Raw genomic sequence first — 18,513 nt, 5'->3', positions numbered from 1 at the left:
TTAAAAATCCAACTTCAAACGGTAATATCGGAGAACATGTTACACTTCACGTTGACATATGTACATATAACAGTAGAGAAACTAAAGCTGGATTTTTTTTAAGATCTTATTATAATAAATAAAGATCTCTCAGTTTTTACCAAAAAAGGAGAGGGGCATAATTATAGTACCTTTACCTCACAGGGCTACTGCAAGAATTAAATTCATATAAAGAGCTTAGCTCGTAAGAGCCCGATAAATGTTGGATGTTAATAGTAACATTATATTTCAAAGTATGTGCTGCAAAGCACTATATACATTTTAATCAACCACCTCAAACATTCCTTTTTTTTTTTTTTAAATTTTAAATGTTTACAGGCATGAGCCACTGTGCCTGGCCCCACCTCAAATTCTTGGTGTAACAAGGCTGGCTCTATATTTTCAAAATCAGTCTGGTTATGATTATGATTATATAACTATTGGTTGGTTAGAGTTATCAGTAAAACACTGCATATCTCTCAAGCATACATCAAAAAGATGATTCCAAAAAACGGTCATAGCAGACACTAGCTACTTGTTTCTTCAGGGATTCATCCCTGCCGAGGGATGTTTCAGCTTCATAACTTACCAGCAGGACACACGAGACACAGGCTGGAGACATCCGATGGGTAGTAAGCAGCATACACCCCAGCCACCTGGCCACCCATGGAGGTGCCTACCAGGTGGAAAGGTTTTTTGTTCAGCTTCAGGCATTCTACAAACTAGGAAGGGAAATGAGAAAGCAGCTTGGTTATACAGCTGTAGACAATGGCAATGGTGACTACAGCATAGAAGCCCCCTGGACTTCCTATGGACAACTGAAAATGACTACTGTTTAAAGAGTCTGAAACTCTACTGGATCCATTATAAGATGAGCCCTGTGGCATGCATGGACTTCTCTGTCTGGCACAAGAGATTGAGAGGTCATTTATAAATATAAAATCAACAGGGATTCTGCTAATTAATGAGTCAGCAAACTTTTCTTTTTTTCTGAGACAGGGTCTCACTCTGTCACCCAGGCTGCAGTGCAGTGGCGTGATCATGGCTAACCTCTGGGGCTCAGGTGATCCTCCCATCTCAGCCTCCCGAGTAGCTAGAACTACAGGCATGCACCACCACATCTGGCTGATTTTTTTTTTTTTTTTTTTTTGTAGAGATGAGGTTTCACCATATTGTCCAGGCTGATGAAGTTTTCTATAAAGGTCCAGAGAGTAAACATTTTCTGCTTTGAGAGCCATATGATCTGTTGCAACTATTCAACTCTGCTGTTGCAGACAAAAGCAGTCAAAGGTAATATGTATTAAATAAATGAGTGAGTGTGGCTGTTTTCCAGTAAAATTTAGTTTACAAAAATAGGTACAAGCTAAACATAGCTCATGGGCTGTAGTTTGAGGGCTCCTGTGCTAATTTAAAGCTCTTCTCGTCCATCTGACCATCCATTCATATAACTACCCATCCATTTGTCTATTCAACCATCCATCCATCCAACCATCCATCCATCTATCCATCCAATCATCCAATCAGCCATCCACCCAACTATCCAGCATTCTAAAAAATATTCATTGGATATCTATTATGTACAGGAAACTATGATTAGATGCTGAAAACACAGCAAAGAGCTAAAAAGACAAGGTTCCTGACCGAATTTAAAAAACAGTTTAATGGAGGAGGCAGATATTAAATATCCTCATTTGGGGGAAAATATTTAAGGTCAACCTGAAACTTACAGGCTACCCCATTCTGAAATGGCTCTTAAACTCCTATGATCTTGAAAGCTTAGCCAGAGAAGGCTAGAGATAGATTCTAAAATAGGTGCTAGCAATAGATGCTAAAGTACGTTATAATGTGAAGAACACCCTCCCCAGCTAGGCAGAGGGGCTATTACTGTTATCATATAACTGGTGAGCAGAAAGAGAGATCCCTAGGAAGGGAATTGGTTTTAAGAAATTCTAAACCCCTTTTCAAAGAGTTGAGAAAATGCTCAGATTGTATTTCGTTACAAACAACTGCAATAGGCTTAAGTCTGTAATAAGCCCTGGCCCTCCATTGCCAACCAGAGATATCATCAGGTTGCCATTTGGCTTGCCATCACTTGTAGACAGAATGTACAGGAGACTGGTCATGAGGTAGCACAGGACTCCCTTCCCTGCTCTCCAGACTCAGACATGTAATGGTGGCTGAGACAGTCTGGGCAATCTTTGGTAGAGCCTCCTGCTTACCTGGTGTATCCTCTTAACTTGCCCATCTATGGACAGGTCATCCAGGGAGGAGCGGGTGGTGCCCTCATGTCCTGGCATGTCCACGCAGACCAAGTGCAGGTTCTTTGGAAGGAACTGAGGACACACAGACCCAGAGAGTCAGTATGTGGTGTGCAAAACATGTCTGCCCATTTTCTTGGGAGGTTGCCCCATGTACAGTGACCCAGACAGCCATCCCTGGGGATGTATGGGTCTTGGCCACTCAGTGTTTTACCCCAGTAATTGAATAAGCATTGCCAGTAGCCTCATCGGGAGCAGAGGCCCACAAAGGCTAATACATAGATGGAAGCAGGCTCAGGAGATGCCTGTAAAAAGGGGACAAAGTCGGGGCAGCAGGCTTAAGTCTCTTGCTTTTTCTTCACACTAGTTGACATGTACTGCCTCCTCCTTTCCCTCACCCCTTCCACACTTACTCCAGCCATGCAGCTGCTGACTTGGATCTGGAAGGGATGGTTCTGTTCTCTCATATCCTAGCCAGCTCCAGAGCCAACAGGAGCAATGTTTTCCCCAAGAACCACATCTGATCACCCCGATTCTGGTTTGTTTGGTTTCTTTTTACATTAAGGTCTACTTTTCCAAATTATTATTATCCTAAAACACCTTCTTCCATTTAGATATGTACCACTTTTAACCAGGAAACTGAGAAACATAAGTTACCAACAAACAAACATCCAGTTATAAGAAAGATATTTATCTGAGGAGGGGACAGGAAGTTCATCAAGGCATGAAAATGACTGTCCTCATAGTGGAATTTGGAAATAAGAATACAACTAACTAGAGGGTGTGTGAGTCTTCACCTACTGGTGTAGATGATACTTGGGATCCCTCAGGTATGGTGTTGCCTGATGTGGGAGCCAGGGATGCTTCCTGCCCAAGACTTCTGCCAGCCCCAACCTTCACACCTGATCACTCTTACCAAGAGCAGCAAGTTGCCACACCCAAGTAAACCAAGACAAAAAGTGACTTGGAAAACTCTTCCAGAAAGCTGCTAGATCAAGACTGTTTCTCTAAATGGCAAAGGAAAAGAAAAAAGCAGACGTAGAAGAGGGAGTGGGAAGGAAAGGAAAAGAAGGAATGAAGGAAGAATATGGAGGGGAAGGAAGAGAAGAAACTTGGGAGTACAAAAAAAATGACTTTTCAAAGCCCAACTCTGATCTCACAGCAGTTCTGAGATGCAGCTGTGTCAGAAGCCTCCCCAAAGAAATATCCATGAGGTAAAAAGATTTCTAAGCCATACGTTTTATATATAATATTCAACTCAATAATTTTTTTCTGACAAAAGAATGAGTAACATATTGCATTAGTTTGTTTGTTTGTTTTGAGACAGGGTCTCACTCCTGTTGCTCAGGCTGGAGTGTGGTATAGCACGATCTTGGTTCACTGCAGCCTTGACTTCCCAGGCTCAGGTGATTCTCCCATCTCAGCCTCCAAAGTAGCTGGGACTACAGGTGCATGCCACCATGCCTGGCTAATTTTTTTGTAGAGACGGAGTCTCCCTATGTTGCCCAGGCTGGTCTCAAACTCCTGGGCTCAAGTGATCTGCCTGCCTTGGCCTCCCCAAAGTGCTGGGATTACAGGTATGAGCCACTGTGCCAGGCCACACTGCATTAGTTCTAATATGACTTGAACCACCACAGTTCTGAGTTCCCTTTGCTTTCTACCATTGTTGATGACATCATGTCCTAGTGGAAACCCTTTTCTTCTTCTTCCTTTTTTTATTTTTATTTTTTTTGAGACAGAGTCTTATTCTGTTGCCCAGGCTAAGTGCAGTGGCATGATCATTGCTCACTGAAGACTTGACCCCCCAGGCTCAAGCAATCTTCCCACCTCAGTCTCCTGAGTAGCCAGGACTACAGGCATGCACCACCACACCTGGCTAATTTTTTAATTTTTTGTAGAGACAGGGTTTCTTTATGTTGTCCAGGCTGGTTTTGAACTCCTGGACTCAAGCAATCCTCCTGCCTCAGGCTCCCAAAGTGCTGGGATTATAGGCATGAGCCACAGCACCCAACTCCCTTTTCTTATAAGAGAGAAGAATCGAGAATTGCACCTTGACCACACTGAGCCACATATCCTTGTGGGCAGAGAATCCGTGGAGCATGAGGATGGAGGGTTTGTGCCCAGGCCTGCCCCGGAAGGAATAACAGAACTGATAGTCTTCATGGTGAACATAGCGGACTTGCATGCCCAATGTCCTCCGCCAGTACCTGGAAGGGGTGAGAAATAAAGACAAAACGAAATCAGTAAGCTCTAGATGAGTGGCTTCAAGATGGGCACAGGTCCTCTCTATAAGTCTTCCTTAGTGATAACACAAACACTTCTCCAGCCCTTGTCCTCCATCAGTCTCTAGAGTCCTCCTGAGCTTTACCCTCAAGGAACACAAAGCCAAACCATTCCAGAGAACACCTTAAATGAACTATTTTGGTATATATTTTACTAATCACTCTAGGAAGGGAAATGCGGTGTTTTCTTAAGAAGTATGCCACACATGATAACCTTTTGATAATATGTCTTTCTAGAGACTTTGAGAGTGATAACTTATTTCTTGAGAACCATCTGCACTGGTCCTCTGGCTTTGTTCCTCATAACATATGGCAGCTGGTTGAAAGCTCAGCTTCTGCTGGTTACATAAGACTTGGCAGTGCTGGACTTTGGCCCAAAATCAATTTCAATATGAAATTACCATCTAAACAAATTGAACTCTCTGCATGGTGAATCCCTCCAAGATGAGAGATAATTAATTCAATCAGAGGTGCACTTTGTAAGATACTTCACACTAAAGAAGTAGCCAAGTCTTGCAAAAGCAAATAACCTAAACTGACTGGTCTTAACTCTTTGTGTAAAATAAGCAGAGAGGGAGAGAAGATATATATTCATTTACTTTTATCCGCATACAAAAAATGTGAGAGCATACATAAGGTTTTTTTTTTTGTTGTTTGTTTGGTCAGGTTTTTTTTTTTTTTAGATACAGTCTCGCTCTGTCACCCACGCTGGGGCAATTTCCGCTCACTGCAACCTCCACCTCCCGGGTTCAAGCAATTCTTGTGCCTCAGCCTGTATCTAGGGTTACAGGTGCACACCACCATGCCTGCCTAATTTTTGTATTTTTAGTAGAGACAGGGTTTCGCCATGTTGGCCAGGCCAGTCTCAAACTCCTGGCCTCAAGTGATCCATCCACGTTGGCCTCCCAAAGTGCTTGGGTTACAGACGTCCAGCTGGTTAAACCGCACCTGGTTGGTTTCTTTTGAAACTTTTTTAATGACTGCATTGCCTACTCAAAACGTAAAGAACATAATAGCATTGGCTAGCTTAAAAGCTCTTCTTACAGCAAGGCAAGCGTATTTCAAAATTCTAAATCATAACACGACTTTGTTCATCCATTCACATCCCAGCTCATTCACTTACTGACTTTGAATGTCCCCTCCAAAACTCATGTTGAAATTTAATTGCCATTGTGAAGTGGGACTGTTAAGAGGTAATTAGGCCCTGACAGTTTTGCCTTCATAAATAGATTAATGCTATTATTGAGGGAGTAGATTCCTGATAAAAGTGAGTCTGGTCCCCTCTTGCTTCTGGCTCACTCTTATAGTCTCTTGTCCTTCTACCTTCCACCACGGGATGACACAGCAGGAAGGCCCTTGCCAGATATTGGTGCCATTCTCTTGGGCTTCCCAACCTCCAGAACAATAAGCCAAACAAATTTCTTTTCTTTATAAATTATCTAGTCTGTGGCATTCTGCTGTAGCAACACAAAATGGAATAAGACACTAACTATATAATCTTATAATATGAGGAAATGCTGCATTCCACTAAGAATATGGCAAAGATTAAATGATGAGGTAATCCATGTACAAAGTTTTGTTCAATGCCCAGCAAATGGTAAGTATTCAGTACATGATAGTTATTAGTATTATGTAAAGATGATTTTGTCCTTCCAAATACATCATTTGCCAAAAATTAAAAGGAAAAATTAGGGGAAATATTTGCAATGAATATGACAGCTGCAGAATGATATCCTTAATAAATAAAAAGCTTACAAATTGATCTCAACCATGCTAAAACCCTAATTCAACACTAGGCAAAATAAATGAAAAGGTACCTTAGAGTAGAAAAGATATTAATGACTAACAAACATAAAAAACATGTTCAAGTTCACTAGTAATTAAAAATATGAATAGTGCACCAACATGGATGGAACTGGAGATCATTATGTTAAGTGAAGTAAGCCAGACACAGAAAGACAAACATCACATGCTCTCACTTATTTATGGGATCTAAAAATCAAAACAATGCAACTCATGGGCATAGATAGTAGAAGGATGGTTACCAGAGGCTGAGATGAGTAGCTGGGGGTAGGGGAGAAGTGGGGATGGTTAATGGGTACAAAAAAAATAGAAAGAATGAATAAGACCTACTATTGATAGCACAATACGGTGACTATAGTCAATAATAGTTGTAAATTTTTAAATAACTTGAAGAGTGTAACTGGATTGTTTGTAACTCAAAGGATAAATGCTTGAGGGGATGGATACCCCATTCTCCATGATGTGCTTATTTCACATGGCATACCTGTATCAAAACATCTTGTGTACCCCATATATACCTACTATGTACCCCCCAAATTTTTAAATAAAAAATTAATAAAGAAAAAATATGAACACCCTTTATGAGCTTCTAAATTAGAAAAGTGGTGGGGTTTTTTGTTGAGATGGGGTCTTACTCTGTCACCCAGGCTGGAGTGCAGTGACACAATCACGGTTCACTGCAGCCCTGTCCTCCTAAGCCCAACTGACCCTCCCACCTCAGCCTCCTGAATAGCTGAAATTACAGGTGCATATACCATGCCTGGCTAATTTTTTTATTTTTTAGGTAGAGACTGGGTCTCCCTGTATTGCCCGGGCTGGTCTCGAACTCAAGTGATCCTGCCACTGAGCCACTGCACCTGGCATATGTGTGTGTGTGTGTGTGTGTGTGTGTGTGTGTGTGTGTGTGTGTGTGTGTGTGTGTGCGTTTATATAACCAGTTATAAAGTTCAGGCTTTCTAAGAAAGCAATCTGGCATAAAATATCAAGAATCTTTGAAACCTCATGCCCCTTGTTGACCTAGTAAGTATAATTCCAAGAATAATCTGTCTCAAGGAAATAAGTAGAAACTTTGAAAAAGAATATTTTTAAAGTGTTCCAGCCAGCGTTATGTGTTGTTTAAATTAGAAAAAATCAATACTAACTTTAGTGTCCATGAATAGGAAATATATTAGATAAACTACCATATAGCTAGGTGATGTCTTATTTTGCTATTATTTAAAATGGAGTTTTCAAAGAATATTCAATAACATGGAAAAATATTTATGACATGATGTCAAGTGAAAAAACAGGACCCAATTTTTTTAAATACTATTGATTCCAATTCTGTTAAAAAAAACTGTTAAGTATACACAGATGAAGTGGTGGGGGAGAGAGGTGGGAAGAGCAAAAGAAGCATTGAAGAAAATTAATTATTCCAGGGGTTATGGGTAATTTACATTTTCTTTGTGTTACCTTTTTATTTTTAAATTATTTATTATTTTTTATTTTTGGTACTGGGAGTGGGGCTCGAATGGGTTACGTTTTTATAATCATCAAATTCTCTATAACTCTCATACAAAGTACAGTGTGAGATCATGGAAGAGCTGGAAGGACCTGGTGGAAAAGGTGAAACTTCAGCAGACTACTGGATACTCAACATACATCAGCTGGAAGCTGGAGAAGGTGTGCCAGGAGGTAGAGACAGCAGAGGCAAGGGCCTCGGGGAGAGCCAAGTATGACTTGAACCAGAATGAAGAGACACAGGGTTGGAAGGCGGCCAGACTGCCGGATTCAGGAATTAAGGGCTTCTTCATTATCAGACAGAGCTCTTTGGTACTACTCGATATTTTTCATTTAATTGGTACATCCACTGGACAAGTTTACCTAGGCTCCAGAAACAAGAAACTGGAAAACTAATATTTTTTCTTTTTTTTTTTTTTTGAGATGGAGTTTCACTCTCGTTGCCTAGGCTGGAGTGCAGTGGCGCAATCTCAGTTCACTGCAACCTCCACCTCCCGGGTTCAAGTGATTCTCCCGCCTCAGCCTCCTGAGTAGCTGGGATTACAGGTGTGTGCCACCACGCTCGGCTAATTTTTGTTTTTGTTTATTTTTATTTTTATTTTTTAGATGGAGTCTTGCTCTGTTGCCCAGGCTGGAATGCAGTGGCATGATCTCGGCTCACTGCAACCTCCACCTTCTGCTTTCAAACGATTCTCCCACTTCAGCCTCCCAAGTAGCTGGGACTACAGGCGCGTGCCACCACGCCTGGCTAATTTTCGTATTTGTAGTAGAGATGGGGTTTCACCATGTTGGCCAGGCTGGTCTCAAACTCCTGACCTCGTGATCTACCCACCTCGGCCTTCCAAAGTGCTGGGATTACAGGCGTGGGCCACAACGCCTAGCCTCTAATTTTTGTATTTTTTTAGTAGAGACAGGGTTTCACCATGTTGGCTAGGCTGGTCTTGAACTCCTGACCTCAGATGATCTGCCTCCCTCAGCCTCCCAAAGTGTTGGGATTACAGGCGTGAGCCACCATGCCCAGCCCAGAGAACTAATATTTTCAAATGATCCCCTCAACGAAAGAGTAGGAAGATGACTCTAAGATACCAGGCCAGCTGAAAAATTCTGAAAGACCCATGGCCCAGATGGAAAAAATCTTCTTTGGTTTAATGATAATAGATAATAGAGAATAGATTACCTCTAATTCACAAAAGCAGAACCTTACAGAACAGAAACAAAGAGAAGAATTAAGGTGGGATGAATGAATGTCTCAGGAGCAAGATCTTTTACAATCTCAGTACAAGAGCCAAACTGCTCCTGTTTCAGGGACAGAAGTCATTGAAGGCTCTATTGACCTAAATAGAAAAGCCCCAAAGAGGACCTCCTCGGGGTTCCTCTTTAATAAAGTCTCCTGGAGCCCAGAGTCCTCATCCTATGTCTCTGTCTAGTTAACGGGAACTTCTGAAGAAAAGTACTTACAGATTTTTTTATACTGTGGTAAAACAGACATAACATAAACATTTACCATTTTAACAAGTGTACGATCAATGACATTACACAACATTGTAAAACTACCACCACTATCCATTTCTAGAACTTTTTGTCATCCTAAATAGAAACTCTGTACCCATTAAACATTAACTCCTCATTTCCCCCAGTCCCCTAGCAACCTCTATTCTACTTTCTCTATGAGTTTGTCTATTCTGGGTAAAAGTGGAATCATACAAAATTTGTCCTTTTGTGTCTGGTTAGTTTCACTTAGCACAGTTGTTCTCAAGGTTCATCCATGTTGTGTTAATAGCATGAATCAGAGTGTCATTCCTTTTTAAGGCTGAATAATATTCTATTGTGTATATACCACATTTTGTTTATCCATTTGTCTGTTGGACATTTAGGTTATTTCTATCTTTTCGCTATTGCAAAGAATGCTGCTATGGACATTGGTGCACACATTGAGACCCTGCTTGCAATTCTTTGGGATTTACACTCATAAGTAGAATTGCTGGATGTTACGTTAAATGTATAACTTTCTGGGGAGCCGACAAATTTGTGCATAGCAACTATACTATTTTACATTCCCAACAGCAGTGCATAGGGGGTTCCAATCTCTCCACATCCTCACCAACACTTATTTTCCATTTTTTAAAGTTATGTATATTTTACCACAATAAAAAGAAAGAACCAGGCCGGGCATGGTGGCTCACAACTGTAATCCCAGAGCTTTGGGAGGGCAAGGTGGGTGGATCGCTTGAGCCCAGGAGTTTGAGCCTGTCTCTACAAAAACCGCAAAAATTAGGTGGCAAGGTGGCACACACCTGTAGCCCCAGTTACTCTAGAAGCTGAGGTGGGAGGATCACTTGAGCCTGGGAGGTAGAGGTTGCAGTGAGCAGCCTAGGCTGGTCTTAAACTCCTGGGCTCAAGCAATCGCCCACCTCTGCCTCCCAAAGTGCTGAAATTACAAGCATGAGCTGCAGCACCCAGCTCCAAATTCACTTATTAATTCCAACAAATTATTTATAGATTTTTTTTGGACTTTCTATGTACACAATTGTGTCATCTGCAAACAATGTCAGATTATTATTATTTCTTCTTTTCCAATTCTTATCCCCTTTTCTTTCTTATATTTATATAAGTGAACTGTTCACTATTATTTCTTACCTTGATTTCACAACTGAGTTTCTTTGGGAAAACAAAAATCTTAGAAAATCTCAGTCTTTCTCATCTTGTGAACAGTCCTGATATTTTCATTACACAATGAAAATCAGACCTGATGTCATCCGCAGTGGCCACAGCATCCCCGGTGTGGCTCTCTGTTGACTCATGTTGAAGCATTTGGTACCTCCTGCAGGAGCAGCCATAGTCCACGGTGTTGTGGAAGTGTGCTGGCCATGCTCCAGGGACACTTAGACCCAGAGAGAGCTGCTCTGAAGACTTGCTGTGGCCTACTGGGGACACCTGTTCTTGTTCCCTGAGGAGCTGAGACAATCCCAGAGGGAACTCCAGGAGCTTGCACGATGTGATGACTTCACCAAACCCTTATGCTCATATGGCAGGGCAGCGGGGAACGGGGACTGGGTGCCAAGCTACCTCTACTGCCTGCTGATCCTGTTTGTGTAGCAATCCTGAAAATTAACCTGACCCACCTAGGTCTGCGAGGTGAACCCACTGGTGGTCATCACTGGCAGCCGAGCAAATGAAGGCCTTTGGAGGAGTCGCTGTGGTTAAGGGATATAAGTGACTCATGGTGATGCTGCTCATTCTATGACAACCACTGTGTAAATGTCACTTGTGGTGAGGCTATTTGGAGGAAGCAGTCTGTGCATTTCAGTGATGCGGAGGAAGTGCCTCACAGGATTGCTGACAGCTCTCTGCAATGGCATCATGGGTTTTATTACTAAAATCATAATCCCCCGTGTCACAATGCCACCTGGCATGATCTGAAAGGTTTTCTAGGATTTTCATCTTCCCAAACCAGCTGGGTTTTCTTCTTGGCCTGTGTGCCTGAGTTCACAAAATAAAGAGCATTGTGTTTGTCTTTCAGCCACGGCACTGAGCTGGGTGACAGGCATGGGCAGGCTTTAAGACCCCATGCATCCATACTGCCAATTAAAGAGGCTCTGAATGCTCTGCACTGTGGGGCTTCTCTGGTTTTTTTGTGGTATTATTTGTTAATAAAAGTGAATTATTTGCTATGCAGCATTATTCATAATAGCCAAAAGGTGGAAACAACCCAAGTGTCCATCAACAGATGAATGGATGAACAAACTGTATATATACACAATGGAATATTATTTAACCACAACAGAAAGTGAAGGAGTGATGCATGCTACAACATGGACGAACCTTGAAAACATTATGCTAAGTGAGAGAAACCAGACACAAAGGTCACACATGTATAACCCCGTTTACGTGAAATGTCCGTAATGGGCACATCTAAAAAGACAGGAAGTAGATGAGTGGTTGCCAGAAGATGAAGTGAGGGAGAAACTGGGATTGATGGCTACTAGGTATGGGGACTCCTTTGGGGAGGTGGAAATATTTGAAATTAGATAGTGGTAATGGTTGTACAACACTCTGAATATATTAAAACCACTGAATTGTACATTTTATTTATTTACATTTATATTTATGTTTCATTTATTTATTTATTTAGACAGAGTCTCATCTCTGTCACCCAGGCTGAAGTGTAGTGGCACGATCTCGGCTCACTGCAACCTCCGCTTCCTGGGTTCAAGCGATTCTTCTGCCTCAGCCTCCCAGGTAGCTGGAATTACAGGCACGTACCACCATGCCTGGCTAATTTTTTGTATTTTTAGTAGAGACGGGGTTTCGCCATGTTGGCCAGGCTGGTCTCGAACTCCTGGCCTCAAGTGATCCTCCTGCCTTAGCCTCCCAAAGTGCTGGGATTACAGGTGTGAGCCATCGTGCCCAGCCTTGAATTGTACACTTTAAAATGGTGACTTTTATGTTATGTGAATTTTAACTTAATTTAAAAAGCAAATTATTTGCTATCAACTTATTTTTCTCATTACAAATGAAACATCAAAATTACCCTAACACCCTTACTCTGAAAGCCTTCTCCTCGACAGCCCAGGGAACTGTTGGGGGACTATGCAGCATTGAGGCTAGTTTCCACATGAGGTGGGTGGAATTAACCTTTACATAATCACACCTCTGTATGTGACCATATCCATGGTTACGAGCCACATCAGTGAATTGTGTTCTCTCCTTCAATTTCATGTCGTTAATAAAAACGGCGTTTTGTGTGTGGCAGTCCATGATGCCTTGACGAGGCCATGAGAAGGGGCACGCAACTCTGCCTTCTCCATGTCAGGGGTCATCCAGGAGCCTTAGCCCACAAAGCACAGAACTCCTGCTACCAGCACTGCAAGGGCAACAGCATTTCAGCTTCAGAGTGAGTCTCGCTTTCTCAGTGCAGAAGGTGGGTCCCGGGTGACTTGGGAGGGGGTCACAACTCCCCACTCCCGCCCCCAGAGAGCAAGAGCAAAAGATGAAAAGCTCCCTTCCATTCAATTAGTTTCAAGGATTAGAGCTTGGCTGGCAGGCGGAAAATTCCACACTCAAGTGAAGCAAAAAGGAGCCAGAAAGGAGGGCAGATAAAGGGCATAACACCCTCTCTGGACTCTTCTACGTACAGAAGTGAGTTCCGACTTCCTGAAGTCCCAGTTAGATCTCAATGGGCTTACCTATAGCACAGAGAGGAACCAGGTCTATTTCGATGCTCCCTTCATCAGGGGATGTACACCATGGGGGTGGGAAGGGCAATTTCATTTGATAATTGGACAGTGGCATGAAAAGGCAATGAAGCACATCATGAGAAAGTCACTTTCTTTTTGACTGTTAACCTTCTGATTCCAACAAGGAGAAAGGCTCAGCTCAGGGCTGCTACATCTTTCACGCTGCTCATGCTTTGTAACAAAGTAAAAGGAGATACAATTTAATAAGACTGTTTAATGTCACTGTGTTTATTTTTACTTTTTGATATATATACATATTTTTTTTTGAGATGCAGTTCTGCTCTTGTTGCCCAGGCTGGAGTGCAATGGCGCGATCTCAGCTCACCGCAACCTCCACCTCCCAGGATCAGGCGATTCTCCTGCCTCAGCCTCCCGAGTAGCTGGGATTACAGGCATGCACCACCACGCCTAGCTAATTTTGTATTTTTAGTAGAGATTGGGTTTCTCCATGTTGGTCGGGCTGGTCTCGAACTCCCGATCTCAGGTGATCTGCCTGCCTCGGCCTCCCAAAATGCTGGGATTACAGGAATGAGCCACTGCGCCAGGCACTTTTTGATATTAATTTACTATTTATGGCAAGCTTTTCACTTAAGGGAGTGATATTCATATCACTTTTTAAATACTTGATTTAAGGATTTTTTTAAAAAGATGGCTCACTCTAAAGGAAATACAAAATAAAAGGACAGGTGGTATCCAGATAGGACAAGAATAATAACAGTGGTACAAGAATGACATATTTTGGAAACTTCTTTTTCTTTCTGTCACTTCTTTACTAATGAACACTTCTAGAACAACTCTAAAAGCATTCTGTCCTAAACATGCCATCTCAATGGTTCTGGTCTTTCTTGTTCATTTTTCAGTGACATCGCTGCACCTGTCAGGACATCACAGGGTCAGAATCCAATGATGAAGGCCAGGCGCAGTGGCTCACACCTGTAATCCCAGCACTTTGGGAGGCTGAGGTGGGAGGATCACTTGAGGTCAGGAGTTTGAGACCAGCTTGGCCAATACGGCAAAAGCCTGTCTCTACTAAAAATATAAAAATTAGCTAGGCATGGTGGCACGTGCCTGTAGTCCTAGCTACTTGGGAGGCTGAGGCAAGAGAATCGCTTGAGCCTGGGAGGCAGAGGTTGCAGTGAGCCGAGATGACACCACTGCACTCCAGCCTAGGTGACAGAGGGAGACTGTTTCAAAAAAAAAACCAAACAAAAACCCAAAAAACCAACCAACCAACAAACAAACAAAAACAACCAATGATCAAGAAGATACCAAAGGAGTTCCCATAAAAATGTACAATTCTTGCTTGAAGACAGAATCACTGACTTTGGGAATGTGGGTGGAGAAAGATGCTATCAGAAACCTAAAAGGGCCGGGTATGATGGCTCATGCCTGTAATCCCAGCACTTAGAGAGGCAAGATGGGAAGATCACTTGAGGCCAGGAGTTGGAGACCAGCCTGGCCAACATGGTGAAACCCCATCTGTACTAAAAATACAAAAAAAATTAGCCGGGCGTGGTGGCATACACCTGTAAAATCTCAGCTACTTGGAGGCTGAAGCAGGAAAATTGATTGAAGCCAGGAGGTGGAGGTTGCAGTGAGCTGAGATCATCCCACTGCACTCCAGCCTGGGCAACAGAGCACAACTCTGTCTCCAAAAAACAAACAAACAAACAAACCTGAAAGAACTGATCTGGTAATATTCTTCAAGAGCATTCCCAAAATTCCAAACAGGATGAGTACCTTTCAACTTTTCTCTCTGTCTGAAATACTTCCTGATAAAATGTTGGACAATAACCACAAAAAGGACAAGCAGAGAAGATGTCAATATTATGATACTCTTGAAAACATCAATGATAAAACTGGCTTACCAATAATAGATTCTTATCAGTGCTGAAGGCCACAGAAGAAATGAAGCCACAAATGCCAGGATTGGGATGGCCAGCGTGCCGCCCGCAATCACAAACATGTTAACCACATCAAGATCCATCCTGCTCTTTCAGGCTGGCTGACTCCTGCAGGGGCCAAAGAGAATGACGATATTAAAACTCTGTATCAAAGGAAAAAAGGCGAAGAAGTAAAGGGGACAAGAAAAGTGAAGTTCCCAGAGTGAGGGTAAAGAACAGGAGGAAACCAAAGCAGGCAAGTGCTTTACAAAAAACCAAATAGACATGACAACTAAAAGTAATGAGGAACTTTTCAGAGGAGCCTGGATTTGTAAAAAAAAAAAACATTATAAAGGACATAGTTGGGACAAATGTGAAAATCTGAGTAAGGGCTGGGTATTAGACAACGTCAATGTATCAGTGACACAATTCTTGAGTATGATGATGAAATTGTGATTATGTATGTATGTAGGAGAATATCTTCCCTTTTAGGAGATGTTTGCTGAAGTTGTAAGGGGTGAAGTATAATGGTATCTGCTACTCACTTTTAAAGGTTCAGGAGAGAAAAAGTAGTGTGTGTATGTGTGTGTGTGTGTGTGTGTGTGTGTGTGTGTTGGTGGGAGGAAAAGAGAGAGAAATAAAGCAAATATGGTAAAATGCTAACCACTGGGGAATCCAGGTGAAGGTTACATGATATTATCCTTTCAATCTTTCTGTAGGCTTGCAGTATTTAAAAATAAAAAAGGAGACAGGTGCAGTGGCTCACACCTGTAATCCCAGCACTTTGGGAGGCTGAGGTGGGCGGATCACTTAAGGTCAGGAGTTCGAGACTAGCCTAGCCAACATGATGAAACCCCATCTCTACTAAAAACACAAAAGTTAGCCAAGCGTGGTGGCAGGTGACTGTAATTCCAGCTACTCGGGAGGCTGAGGCAGGAGAATCGCTTGAACCCAGGAGGCAGAGGTTGCAGTGAGCCAAGATTGTGCCATTGCACTCTAGCCTGGGCAACAAGACTCTATCTCAAAAAATAAAAATAAAAAATAAATAAAAATAAAAAAGGAGGACAGGTTGGGCATGGTAGCTCATGCCTGTGATCCAGCACTTTGGGAGACCAAGGTGGGAGGATCACTTGAGCCCAGGAGTTTGAAGCTGTAGTAAGCTATGATTGCACCACTGCACTCTAGCCTAGGCAACGGAGTGAGAACCTTTAAAAAAAAAAAAAAAAAAGACAGACTTTTAAAGAAATCAATGAACAAATATACATGTACACATGGATACAAGAAACCAGTAACAGTGATTGATCTAAGGTGGGGAAGTAGATAGCTAAGTGTCAGGAATAGACAGGAAACTTGGTTTTTCACTTTTTAAAACTTTTAAGTTGTTATGTAAATATGTAACCAATTCAAAAAATAAATACATAATACAAAGTTAAGGGAGAATAAGCCAAAAAGGTAGTTTTCAGTGTACTTTCTGATGTCTTCCTAAAGACTTACACATCTGAAGGCTAGAATGTGGGATGCATGAGAGTAAGGACTGGGTGTCCCCAGCACCAACACTAAGACCTGACACACCATTGGGGCACTAGAATTCCAGCTGTATCAGAGGCCCTGCCCTGTCCTGTCTTATGAGCTTATAATACAGTTCATTCTAGCATAGAATGAAAAATACTTCAGGCTGGGTTCCGTGGCCCATGCCTGTAATCTCAACACTTTGGGAGGCAGAGGTGGAAGGATCACTTGAGGCCAGGCATTGAAGACCAGCCTAGGCAACATGGCAAGACCTCATCTCTATTTTATATATATATATGTGTGTGTGTGTGTGTGTGTGTGTGTGTGTGTATACACATATATATGTATATACACACATATATATCATAAAGTATATAAATATAAATATATAATAAATATATATTTCAAGTCCAGTCATTCTCTCCAACACAGAAAACCCCTGGAAGGACCTGTAAGCCAGGCGTGGCCCTCTGCCTTGATTCCCTGCCATCTGTGCTAAGTGTGCAGGACTCACCAAACATAATACAGATTTCTTCAAGAAAAAGCATTAACATCTAGCAAATCATGGCCTTCCTTACATTTCCTGGGAAATGGAGTGATCTCTCCCATATGCCTCTATCGACTGATACTTAATTCAATTTGATAATAAGTTCAATGCAGCACAGTATAACCTCTCGACCACTAAGCACAAGGGTCAGCACACTTTTTCTGTAAAGTGCCAGACGGTGACGATTTTAGCACTGTGGGACACAGAGTCTCTATTACAGCTACTCAGTCTGCCACTGGATGAGAAAGCAGCCATTGAAGACATGTAACGAATGAGTATGACTGTGTTCCAATAAAACTTCACAGAAATAGGCTGTAGGCCAAATTTGACCTGTAGGCTGTAATTTGCCAACCCTTGATATAGCACATCAACCCTGTCACATAGGAAAGGCAAGTGTTTCATCCTGTTTTATAGGCTGAGGAAATTGAGGCTCTGAGAGGCTAAGTAACTTGCCCAAGGTCACCCAGCTGGTAGTCATGATTACAAAACAGATTTCTAACTCCAATCTACTACCTTTGCACCAAGCTCCACTTTGTCTATTTTTTATTTTTTTCAAATGGCCTGTCCTTAGTCTCTGTAACCTCTTTGCTGTTAGGTATCTACATTCAACATCCCTAATTTCTCAATGAAGATATGAGCTCTCCATCTTCAAGAGGTTTTGCCTAGCAAGCACCTCACAGCCTGGAGAAGGAGACAGATGCACCCATAGGTGGGTTAGATGGTTCTTTTCATTACATACCCATACTCTACCTAAGTACAGTCCTGAGTCTACAGTGATGAAAGCTGCCACCTTCCCAGGGCATAAGCACTGTCTTTGTCTCTGATGCAATTGCCCTCTCAGTTTCTCAGTCACTGTAAACAATTTTCCCAGCACACTGAAATCATTGGCCTGCTTCTCCTTCTGGAACCAGAGCTCCTTGAGGGTAGGGACAATCATGTATGTTCTTCCTCAGTGTCAAGTATGGCACAGGACACAAATAAGGTACAAATGAATCAATGAAAAGCAAATTTACAAAATGGGTTCCATCTGTTTCATTTCTTTTAGGAACAACCATTCCCAATGACTCTGTAAGAGACCTGACATCTTTCCTCTTTCGGTAATTACAAAAATCCCTGAAGGAGTCACCTATTTAACACTGGCTACAATTTACCCTGCTAAAAGGCATCACCTTCAAGGAGTAAGCAAGTTAATCACAGACTGAAGGGAATCTGTACAGATCTGTTTGAACATCATGGGCTGTGAATGAGTTGACACAGATGGGAACTGTCAGCTTTGAGAAGACTTTTCCACATCATACAAAGTCCTTAAAAACTGCTGGGGGCCACTGTAAATTCAGATTACTGAGCAGCAGGGAGTCCTTTGGACTAGGAATTAGAACAGTTTATGCCCAAAGCCATATATATCATAGACTCTGACACTGGAGATGATAGCCCCGAAATGAAGGCATGATCATCAAAAAAAAAAAACCCCTCTGT

At 42.1% G+C, this 18,513-nt stretch overlaps 1 protein-coding gene across 6 annotated transcripts in view; it reads right to left on the bottom strand.

Moving 5' to 3' along the window:
- Positions 1 to 18,513, bottom strand: part of ABHD6 (abhydrolase domain containing 6, acylglycerol lipase) — a 56,943-nt gene that overhangs the window by 23,063 nt on the left and 15,367 nt on the right. For all 6 annotated transcript variants that reach the window (XM_005265334.5, NM_001320126.2, XM_005265335.4 and 3 more), the window contains 4 exons: positions 14,967 to 15,110; positions 4,327 to 4,483; positions 2,238 to 2,351; positions 608 to 740 (listed from right to left, as the gene is read on the bottom strand). In XM_005265334.5, the coding sequence (XP_005265391.1) occupies positions 608 to 740; positions 2,238 to 2,351; positions 4,327 to 4,483; positions 14,967 to 15,085 (523 nt within the window). In that variant the 5' untranslated portion in view covers positions 15,086 to 15,110. The remainder of the gene's footprint in view (positions 1 to 607; positions 741 to 2,237; positions 2,352 to 4,326; positions 4,484 to 14,966; positions 15,111 to 18,513) is intronic.

This window comes from Homo sapiens, chromosome 3 (assembly GCF_000001405.40).
Source record: "Homo sapiens chromosome 3, GRCh38.p14 Primary Assembly".
NCBI lineage: Eukaryota > Metazoa > Chordata > Mammalia > Primates > Hominidae > Homo > Homo sapiens.
The sequence above is the reverse complement of the archived record's forward strand: the minus strand, read 5'-3'. Positions and strand labels throughout refer to the sequence as shown.